Consider the following 12,134-nt stretch of genomic DNA (forward strand, 5'->3'; position numbering starts at 1 on the left):
TCCTTTTTTTCTTTCTTTCTTTCTTTTTTTTTTTTTTTTTTTTTTGACAAGGTCTCATTTTGTTGCCAAGGTTGGAGTACAGTGGCACAATCGCAGCTCATTCAGCCTTGACCTCCCAGGCTCAAATGATCCTCCCACCTCAGCCTCCCAAGTAGCTGGGAATACAGGTGTGCACCATCACACCTGGCTAGTTTTTGTATGTTTTGTAGAGATGGAGTCTCACCATGTTGCCCAGGCTGGTCTTGAACTCCTGGGCTCAAGCAATCCTCCTGCCTCAGCCTCCTAAACTGCTGGGATTACAGATATGAACCACCATGCCAGCCAATTTCTTTATTAACCACAAAACTATTTAAGATACAGATTATAAAACTGTCTTATCAGTTTTATAATATAATCAGATATAATATATTTAACTGTTATAGCATAAATGATAGGAAGTACATAGACTTTAAAAGCTTGCAATATTTCTATATTTTACATGAGTTAATACATTATTAACCATAAGTGGATTGTAAAAGGGTGAAGAGGTATATTGGAATCCCTATAGTAACCACTTAAAAATGACACAAAGTATAGCTATTTAACCATGAAAATAAAATGGAATTCTAAAAAAAAAAAAATTAAAATAAGCATGATCCAAACAAAAAATGCAGAAAAGAAAAAACAGAGAAACAAAACCAGAGAAGTCATGTAGAAAACAGAAAATACAATGGTAGACCCAAGCCAATCATATCAATACATTAAATATTGAAACATAAACATTCCAATTGAAATGTAAAAATTGTGAGAATGAATTAATCCAAAAACAAGACCCAGCTATTTGATGTCCACAAAAAAAAAACACTTTAAACATAAAAACATATATAGGTTGAAAGTAAGCAGATAGAAAAGAATGTATCACACAAACAGTAAACATTAGAAGGCTGGAGTGTCTACATTAACATCCAATAAAATAGGTTTCATGACTAAATGTATTACCTGGGATATAGAAGAACATTTCATAATGATAAAAGAGTTGATTCATCAGAAAAGCGTAAGAGCTATGCACGTGTATGCAGCCAGTAATAGGGCTTCAAAATACATAAAGAATGAATAGACAGTTTCACAATTATGGATTTTAATTGCTACAGATATTGTTAGAGATTTTAATTGCTGACATACCTGTCTCAGCGATTGATAGAACTAGACATAATATCAGCAAAGACATAGATTATTTGATCAACATTACCAACTGATATTTCTAAAACAATACAATCAATACCAGTAGGATATACATTCTTTTTAGTGTACATAATTATTAGAATAGACTATACTTAGAGCCATGAAAAGAATTTTGATACATTTAGGCCAGGCGCGGTGGCTCACGCCTGTAATCCCAGAATTTTGGGAGGCGGAGGTGGGCGGATCACAAGGTCAGGAGATCGAGACCATCCTGGTTAACACGGTGAAACCCCGTCTCTACTAAAAATACAAAAAAATTAGCCGGGCATGGTGGCAGGCACCTGTAGTCCCAGCTACTCAGGAGGCTGAGGCAGGAGAATGGCGTGAACCCGGGAGGTGGAGCTTGCAGTGAGCCGAGATCCCGCCACTGCACTCCAGCCTGGGTGACTCCATCTCAAAAAAAAGGAATTTTGATACATTTAACAATATTAAAAGCACAAGGAGGATTTCTCTGACCATAATGGCATTAAATTAAATAAAAGAATAAAAAAGAATTAGATATCTAAGACATCCAACTAGGTGAAAATTTTAAAATACACAATAAGTAATCAATGAGCTGGCCATGCATGGTGGCTCACGCCTGTAATCCCAACACTTTGAGAGGCCAAGATGGGAGGATCATTTGAGCTCAGGAGTTCAAGACCAGTATGGGCAACATAGCAAGAACACATCTGTGATGGTTAATACTGAATGTCAATTTGATTGGATTGAAGGATGCAAAGTATTGATCCTTGGTGTGTCTGTGAGGGTGTTGCCAAAGGAGATTAACATCTGAGTCAGTGGGCGGGGGAAAGCAGAGGCACCCTTAATCTGTTGGGCACTATCTAATCAGCGCTGCCAGCAAACATAAGCAGGCAGAAAAACATGAAAAGGTGACACTGGCTTAGCCTCCCAACCTACATCTTTCTCCCACGCTGAATGCTTCCTGCCCCCAGAACATCAGACTCCAAGTTCTTCAGTTTTGAGACTTGGGCTGGCTCTCCTTGCTCCTCAAGCTTGCTGACAGCCTATTTTGGGAACTTGTGATTGTGTAGGTTAATACTTAATAAAGTCATATATATATATATAAAAAAATAGATATTCTCTCTATGTATGTATATATGTATATATATGTGTATATATGTATATGTGCATATATATATATATACATCTCCTATTAGTTCTGTCCCTCTAGAGAACCTTGACTAATACAGACTTTGGTACCAGGAATGGTTTTAGAGGAACAGAATATTAAGGATGGAGTTCTTTCGTTGGTTTTGGGATTTCTGGAGTTGGCTGCTTAATACAATTAGACCCAAAAATGTTAAGGATTCTACTTCTAATAGTATGGAAAACCCTGATAGTCCTTGGCATAAACTGTTTAGAATTATGCAAAATAAATGCATTTGACTCTCCTGATTCAGCACTCATGAGAGACAAGGAGTTTAGTGACTCTATGCTTAATACCTTTGATCATATGTGGAGAGCCAAGGTACGTAATGAAGCTGGTTGGTTGCTCCTAAGTTCAGTGGACAAAGTGATAAAAGAAAATGATGAACTCAGGGATTCTGTCTCCTGGCTTCAGAAGCAGATACTGAGCCTCAAATCTGCCAAGATTGCCCTGAGTGAGAATCTTATCTCCTGTAGAGAAAGAGCTGAAATTGGAAAAACAGACACAGCTCTTATCATGCAAGTGGCTGACCTGCAATGAAAGGTGCATCCCAGCCTCGCCAGGTATCTACAGTTAAAGTGAGGGCATTGATTAGAAAAGAATGGGACCCTGCAACTTGGGACGGGGATATGTGGGAGGACCTTGATGAAGCTGGGGACGCTGAGTTTATAAACTCTGATGAAACTTTTTTGCCAAAAGAAACAGCTTCCCCATCTCCAGTAGTGGCAACATCCCCTCCCCAACTCGTGCTGCCATCAGCCTTTCCACCTTTGTCTGAGGAGATGAACCCTGCTCTGCCAGAGGCAATGGTGATGGCCTCCCCTGAGGCAGTTGCCAGGCAAAATTATATTGATTCTCCTCAGGTGCCACCCCCAACTTCCCACTTCTGGTACCAATTTACTGTATTAGTCCATTTTCAGGCTGCTGATAAAGACTTACACAAGAATGAGAAGAAAAAGAGGTTTAATTGGACTTACAGTTCCACATGGCTAGGGAGGCCTCAGAATCATGGCAGGAGGTGAAAGGCACTTCTTACATGGTGGCAGCAAGAGAAAAATGAGGAAGAAGCAAAAGTGGAAATCCCTGATAAACCCATCAGATCTCATAAGACTTATTCACTATCATGAGACTAGCATGGGGAAGACTGACCCCCATGATTCAATTACCTCCCCTTAGGTCCCTCCCATAACACATGGGAATTCTGGGAGATACAATTCAAGTTGAGATTTGGGTGAGGACACAGCCAAACCATATCACCATCTCTATGGGGAAAAAAAAAAAATTCTTTAATTAGCTGGCCATGGTGGAGCATCCCTATAGTCCTAGCCACTCAGGAGGCTAACGCAGGAGGATGGCTTGAACCCAGGAGATCGAGCTTATAGTGAACTATGACCATAACATTGCAGTCAAGCCTGGGCAAGCAAGATCCTGTCTCTGGGAAAAAAAAAAAAAAAGCAATCAGTGAAAGAAGAAATCACAAAGGAATTATATTATAAAATAATTTGAATTGAATGATAATGAAAATACAAGATACCAAAATTTATGGGATAAGATAAAGCAGTACTTGGAAGAAAATATATAGCTTTAAATGCCTATATTAGAAAAAAAAAAAGACTAAAATTGATCATGAGTGACCACCTTAAGAAATCAGAAAAAGAAGAGCAAAATTAAGCCCAAAGTAAGTAGAAGAAAAATATATAAAACAATGAAAATCAATGAAAGAGAAAACAAAAAAAATAGAGAAAATCAGTGAAATTAAGAGTTGACTTTTTGTAAAGTTTAGTAAAATTAAGAAGCTTCATCAGGCTGATCAAGAATAAGAGAAAATACAAATAACCAGTATCAGAGGAACTAAAAAAAGGATATCACTATGAATCCTACTGACATTAAAAATAGTAAGAAATCCTCAGGGCCAGGCATGATGGCTCATGCCTGTAATCACAGCACTTTAGGAGACTAGAGATTTGGGGATCAATTGAGCCCAGGAGTTCAAGACCAGCCTGCACAACACAGTGTGAACCCCGTCTCTATGAAAAATTTAAAAAATTTTCCAGGCATGGTGGCAAGCACTTGTAGTCCCAGCTACTTGGGGGACTGAGGTGGGAGGATCACTTGAGCCCAGCAAGTCAAGTCTGCAGTGAGCCATGATTGTGCCACTGCACTCTGGATGACAGAGTGAGACTCTGTCTCAAAAATTGATGATGAAGAAGAAAAAGGAGGAAGAGGAGGAGGAGGAGAAGGAGAAGGAGAAGAAGAAGAAGAAATCATTAGAAATCGCTTATGTCAATAACTTTGACAATTTAGCTGAAATAAATGAATTCCCAAAACTGATGCAAAAAAATGAAAATCTGAATAACTATTAAAGTTAAATTCCTAATTAAAAATCTGATGTAAGTCATTGTTTAGCCTTTATAGAGTCCAACATCTGTGACACATACATACATGTGTGTACATACACACATACATGATCATACATGTCATATATAATCCACTTCTGCATCTACAGAGATGGTATCAGGATTGCATATATCACCCTTCCACACCCCTATAAGGGTGCCCCTGAACACCAAGTCCCCAGAGGTTTCTCCAAAACCTCTCTCCAAAGCTGTCCATGACCACTTTAGCCCACGGGGGTGACTCCCTCGCTTATACTTTTTGCTCTCTCTCATCTTTTCAAATATGTGTGCCTTCTTTCCCAAAAGGTGTTGTCTATACTTAAGGGCAGGCATTTCTTGTTTAGAGCTCCCTCTGTAAGCTCTCATATAATCAACATTTAACAATACTTGTAGGTTGCATAGAAAAATAGAGAACATTGTCTTAATATTCAGCCACACAGAGTTAAAGGGCATGTTACTCCACACTCAGTGACGCTTCTGAGATTAGTTCTGAAAGATACAAAGGAATAATTGCCATTTTAATGTTTTGTTTTGTTTTTGTTTTTGTTTTTGTTTTTTTGGTAGAGACAGGATTTCACTATGTTGCCTGGGCTGGTTTTGAACTCCTGGGCTCAAGCAATCCTCCTATCTTCATCTCACGTAGTGCTGGGATTATAGGTGTAAGCCATTGTACCCAGCCTCATTTTAATATTTGATTAAACTCAAGAGTTTATTTATCGGGGACCTACTTCAGCAACAAGATTTACTAAGATAAGTGTGAGAGGTTCATCTCAAAATTAAAGCCCCTGATCCTGGCCTGTATTAATGGGAAGAACAAGAACATTGTGACCTCTCTGTGGGATTCTGCATTGCTGTTGCTGTATCTATGACAAAGAACCTCAAAAGGGGGACTTTCTAGGTCAGAGTTGAGGGTTAGTTCAGAGAGAAATTCAACCTTGGCCTTGGTTCTGATCTCCCCTGGCTTTTAGCCACAGGATGACCCCTTCCCTGTGTCTTTGATGGTCAGGGGGTGGAATATCCCCAGAGTCCCTATTTCACTTCCCTAAAGGGGAGGGAGTATTCTGGATTCTAGAAAATTAGAAACCAAAGAGCATTGTCTTCTGAGAAGTAGAGTTAGAGAAAGAGGAAGAGATGGTGAAGCCAGGAGGGGCCAGGAGAGTTTACACAGACTTGCTTCTGACTGTCCATGACTAAAAACTTTAGCAGTGACTCAGCATGGACCGGGAGGTGGGACTATTATAACTAGAGCAGGACACACTTATTGGAATCATGGCAAAAGGCCCTTTTCTCTGGCGTCTTAGCAAAAGGGATACAGTGAGATTTTCTAAAGTCAACAAAGTCAGATTCTTTGAATTTGTAAATCTTCCCTTGTCACTTCTCAGCATGAAGAAAATTGCTTATAGCTTTCAAGAATAGTACCATTATTCTTTCAATTAGCATTTTATGTACTACCCCCTGTCCATCTTCTCTCAATGAGACTCTCCTGAAAGCATGCTGTCTTTTTCAACCTGTTTCTGTGAAGAGGAGAGCATGAAATGTGTGGAATACTGTGCTGAGACCTTTATCACAAGAAAGAACCCAGAGGATTTAGACAGGCAAGGGAGTCAGGAAACTTGCATGTCATATCCTACAGGAGGCATAAAAATCATGAGGTAAGGCTTGCCTGGTTATATCATTTGCTGGAACAACTTTAGGAGAAGAGCAATGGGGTTCACTTACAGAACTTAGACAAGACCCATGTTAGCACAAACTGGGAAAAGATAAAGGTCAAATCAAATAGCCCTGGTATGAATTTATTATTAGGACTGCTTTTTTGAAAAACAAGATTCTGTTATATCACAGAGAGAAGCATGAAGTATCTATCCCTATGGAGTTAAACACGGAGTGAAATTCTAAAATCCTTCCGTCTAACAGCCCCTACATGCCATAAAACTGATGTGCTTCCTGCCAGTTGGGACGTTCCCAGCAACTGATAACCAAGAGCCATTTGAGAGCTCTGAGGAGTCCTTCCAGACGGCTTTGTTAGACAATGTCATTAAACTTCTTGTTTCCATGTGCACCAAAGTGTTTGTTTTAAACAGATTTCCTATGACCCCCACATGTGTTTAAATTTTCTGGACTTGATGTCTTATTTAGAAAGCCAGCTTAGCCCATGTCTGAGCAAAGTAATGTGATATGACAAGCTAACTGGGCATGAAGTTCATCCCAGGCATGCTTGGGACCAGAAAATTGAAGAAACACGAGTACTCACCCACCGTGAGGGTGTAACAAGGGAGGGGTGGGGAAGGTGGAAATCCTAAGGGGGAACACAATAATTTTTTCATAAACCGAGTGAAACAAATTAAGATTTTAAAAATTCCATGATGGCAGATTTTGACATCAGCAATTATCAGAGGATCAACCTCCTCTGCTCTTTTGGGTTTCAGTATATTTAAAATCTCCTATTTTCTGTGGGACTTAGTAAAAATTGACCACCCCTCTTCTGCACTGGTTCCCAGACCTTGCTGTACATTGGAATCACCTGAGAAGCTTAAAAAACTACTGATGCCGACATCCCACTCCTAGAAATTCTGATTTAATTGGTCTAGAGTGCAGCTGGGGCACCAACCTATTGTGAAGCCCCCCTGCTGATTCTAATCTAAGGTTTGAGAACAAGGGCTCGGTGCTTTGTTACTCAAAGTGTGGTCTGAGGACCTGGGAGCTTGTTAGAAATACAGATTCTCAGGCAGCATCCGGACCCACAGAATCATGATCTCCATTTTAATAAGATCCCCAGGTGACTCACATGCACATTAAGTTTGAGAAGCATTACTCTATTTTTCCATAGCCTCCTTCTGCTCTGCAGAAGAGAATGTAGCTCTTAACAGTGGTTGTACATTAAAATCACCTAGAAAGGCTTTCAGAAATATTGATGCCTGGATCCTCTCTCCAGAGATTCTAATTATGATTGGTCTTGAGCGTGGATTCTCTCTCCAGAAATTCTAATATAATTGGTCTTGAGTATGGCCTGGGCAGTTTTTCAAACAATTTTTTAAATCTTTCCAGGGGGTTTTAATATAAACTCCAGGCTGAGAATCACTGCTATAAAAAGATGTTTTTTCTTCTTTTACTTTAATAGTCTTTGGTATAAAGTGACCATATCTGCTAAATCATTAAGTTCCCTGGGAGAGAACCCTCTATTCTAATTTTCTGCATTGGTTATCAAAATTTGCAAACCAACAACGGAGTGCCTTCCCTTCAGAGAGTTTTCTTTGGTAAGTTTGGAATGGGGCCCAGAATCTGCATTTTTTTAAGTCCCATTTGGAATTCCAACATGCATGATTCTTGTACCACATTTTAAAAAGCACTGCCTTAGCATGACAAAAGAATAGGAGAGTAGACTTTAATGGGCACAGGGAGAAAAAGGAGAGTGGGTAAGGTCTCAGAGTAAGGGTTAGGGAGCAGAAAGAAGTGATGCAGGTGGCACACAACATGGAGCTCCAAAGGTTGATGAAAGAGAGAAAGGAGAAACTGCATGGCACAATTCTTAGGAATGAGCAGTAAAGCTCAAGCTCTGTACAAACCAGGCTACTTCTTGTTTGATCAACTCCAAGTTGCCCAGGGAACAGCAATGTGCCTCAGTGAGCACTGTCTTGGAAGCCCCAAGAGAAAGAACTTTTGGGTTTTTAATTGCTTCTTCTCAAGGCTCCTGAAGTTTTTTTTTTTTTTCTTTCCTTCCTTCTTCTTAAGCCAGTCAAATTTAGCAGTGGGGGATTGTCTTCCAACTTTAGTGACACTAATGTTAATAAGTTCTGATAACCCATCGGACCAGCCTCCTTTCCCTTCTTCACCCATCAGATTAAAGAATTAGAAGAACTTGACTTGAAAGAACACTGTCCAAAACCTAAAATCTTTAACTGCACCTTGCCTTATAGAAAAGATGTATGCAGAAAAATTGTCTATAAAATTTTGGTAAATCAAATGATATTTTTAATGACTACAGAATAGGAAAGGAGCTTGCAATTTAAAATAATCCTCTGACAACCCTCTGAAAAAATCTTTCTTTATTTTTTGAGGTTTTATTTTTTATTTCTCTCTATATCTGATTTTTCTTAACAAAGAATACACATTTAATATTGACCATTCATGGAGTCATTATTGGATTAAACAAGAAAATGAATTTAAAGCATTAAGATAGTCCCTGGCATGCAGTAAATATTCAAAAAAGTTAGATTTTTTAAAAGACATTTTTTAAAGAGTAGCTTTAGGTTCACAGCAAAATTGAGAGGCAGGTACAGAGATTGCCCATATACTCCCTGCCCCCTACACATGCATAGCCTCCCTGATTATTAAAATCCCCAGCAGAGTGGTAGATTTGTTGTAATTGATAAACCTGTGTTGACACATCATAATTACCCAATGTCCATAGTTTACATTAGGGTTTACTGTTGGTGGTGTTCATTCTGTGCATTCAGACAAATGTGTAATGGCATGTATCTACCCTTACAGTAACATACAGGGTGTTTTCACTGCCCCTTGAATCCCCTGTGCTCCAATATTATTTTTACTATGATAATAGAATTTGTGCAGCCTAAACGTAAGATACGGAGGGTTATATATCTCTACCTAGCCATCTCAGAGGTCAAGACCAGCTCTGGGACACTTAATGAGATTTCTCTCTATTATGAAAGAGCTTGCAGGCAGAGGGGAACATTGTCAGGCAAAGCCAGAGACTATCAACAACGATTGACCAAATGATAACCCCCTAAAGATGACTGGAGTAAAGAAAGCAGGGAAATCCAGATTTCAGTCTCCAGTACTGGCAAGGAGCGGCAGTAATTTTTTTTCCTAATAAATCCATTTACAAAGCATCTGGTCTCATTCAATGAGGGCTTACTATATAAAGACACAAGCTTCAATCTCATTTAACCCCTCGACATTATTAGCTTCACTTTATCGATGAGAAAAGGTCTAGAAAGTGTCTCAAGCAGTTCCTTAAATCTGTTTGCATCTATATCCAAAGCCCAGGTTGTAACCACTTTATATGTTCCCCCTCCTCAGTAATTGTTACCCCAACAAATGTTCTCTTGAACTCCTTATCAAAATAAGCAAAGACAAGTCATTTGTAAGGTGACACTCAGGCATGTTAGAATAAGGCTTCAAACTCTTGAAACAATCTTGGATTACAGAATGTGAAGCTCCTTCTCTTAAGAGACAAATTACAAACAAGAAGTTGAGAAGCCATTGGAAATTCACTCAAGAGCTCAGGTGACTTCTCAGTTCACATGAGTCTGATTTATCTCTTCGTTTAAGAAGTACCATTTTTAATGATAATTCAGGATGTCAGGCAGAGCCAGATAAGTTGCTTCCCAACTGGAGGCCTCCATTAAGAATCTGCACCAACCATTAAGAATCTGTTCGACCAACTTGAACTCATGCTTGAACCTTGCCTTTCTCTCCACTCTTATCCCAGTGCACCTGTCTGCTGACCAGGACCCTGCAGACCTTGCCCCCATGTTTCCTTTATGAAGGGCACACAGGACAGGTGCCCTATTGTTCCTCATCTAACTCTGATCCTGACTGTCCCAGTTCCACCCCCACCCAGGTAATGACTTCTGAGACATTCAGATACTATTTAGTAGTACTTCTTGGCTCTACATTTTACTGCATGCTCTTTGACACCCTGCGACACCTCCCTGTGTGCTATCCTATGTTCACATCTGCTTAGGTTATCTGATCTAGCTGCCAATCTGAGATAGGACTTTTTCCCTTCATGCTTAGCCTAGTGCTCTATCTGTATTCTCTACAGTTTCTGGCTTCAGATTGGAGGCCCGATTATATACTCTGTCCCAGGGGCAGCAGATGTTTTCAAATGCCTGGGGGCTAACATTTAGCAAGGAATTTGTACGCAAAGTAGGAACGCAAGATGACATCAGCAGAGCCTGGTAAATCAGCCCACTATTGTCTGGAGCACTTAAGGAAATGAAATCCCCGCAGGCTTCCGATTTTCCTTCTTAATTAGCCTCCTCCATTCCCTTAGGCATTTGTTTCCTTAGCAGGATCCTACCCCATAAACTTTCCTTTGCCCCAGCTCACAGGTGTTAAGTAAATACGTGGGAGCAATTACCCATAGCTTCACAGGGCTTTTTTTTTTTTTTTTTTTTTTTTTGTAGTCCACTACAGGGCCCCCGGCCTGCCAGCTTCTGTTAATCCTAATTGGAGCGCTTGTGTCACACTTTCTGCCTAGAGGAGAGGATTTTAGCAGTGCTGCTCTGCCTGCCTGGGGCTCCTGCCTTTAGAGTATTCAAAGAACCTCTATAAATGTGCATTTATTCTTAGCAAGTCTCCCAGAGGACCAGCAGTAGTTTGTTTTACACATGTGAAAGGACTTGTTGTCCCATGATCTCTAGGTGTTCTGAAATGGAGGGGTCAAAGGGCAAACCAAATAAACCCACAACAATATTAATCCCATTGTTGAAACTCGGATTTAGGCAACTCGAAGTCCTGATCGAATGGAGCCAATGTTAAATTTGGAGATAAATGTTACAAATCTCACCACCAGGTTCAAGTTTAAAATCCCACATAAGAAAATAACACCGAAATCTGGTGATTATAAGATCTCGATGTTTCCATCACAACAGCCTTTTGCTCCCTTGAACTTAACATCATGAATGGCTTGATGGCTCTGGCAGGTCTGATCACTGTGTTAATTTTTTTAAAGAAGAAAATGCGGAAAGTTAAGAGAGAAGTGGGGAGAGAGAAGAATCTTTTGACTTCTCTATTAGGAAACCTGAATCTTTATTTCTATAGTCGAATTACGCTTGTGGGTAAAACACTGCTAGTCAAATTTCTGTTAGACATGAAACGCAGTGCTATCACTAAGATGTTTGTTTTATTCAGGTTGGATGAGGCTAAGAATTCATTCATTTGTTTATTCAATATGTACAGGGGTTGAGATGAACATACAATTTATTATCCAGAGACAATTTAAAGAGTATAAGGGGTGCTGTATTCATTCCACCAAGACAACAGACTCATAACAGGACGTCTCTGAACAAAACGAGACGTATGGCCACCTTATTATTGAGCACTTTCTATATACCAGGAAGTATACTGCCTTGTGTAAAAACAGAAAATGCCTGTGGGGTTGGCAAGAGAAGCTGTTCTTCATTTCTAGGTCCAAAATCAGTGTTTAACTCCCACCTGCTCTCAAAAGAGCAAAAGGCTTTGTGAGCCTACTGGTTCTTTCAGGTGAAATAAAGATATGTGCTCAGGTCAATCACTGACTTTTGTGGCTTACAACAATTCTCTCTAAATAGGATCCAGTTTCATCTTCATATTTTTTTGAGAACAGGTTGAATTTTTGAGCAGCACTTTTATATTCAGTT

At 39.7% G+C, this 12,134-nt stretch overlaps 1 pseudogene, besides 1 other annotated feature; it reads right to left on the reverse strand.

Annotated features, from left to right (window-relative positions):
- On the reverse strand, positions 8,494 to 8,580 carry RNY4P18 (RNY4 pseudogene 18; annotated as a pseudogene).
- Positions 10,151 to 11,135: an enhancer, noted in NCBI's record as "OCT4-NANOG hESC enhancer chr9:113861264-113862248 (GRCh37/hg19 assembly coordinates)". NCBI's record gives its function as "activates a minimal SCP1, AML or CMV promoter by ChIP-STARR-seq in naive H9 embryonic stem cells {active_cell/tissue: H9 hESC(naive)}" and the evidence as "EXISTENCE:reporter gene assay evidence [ECO:0000049][PMID:30033119]".

This window comes from Homo sapiens, chromosome 9 (genome assembly GCF_000001405.40).
Source record: "Homo sapiens chromosome 9, GRCh38.p14 Primary Assembly".
NCBI classification, from domain to species: Eukaryota; Metazoa; Chordata; class Mammalia; order Primates; family Hominidae; genus Homo; species Homo sapiens.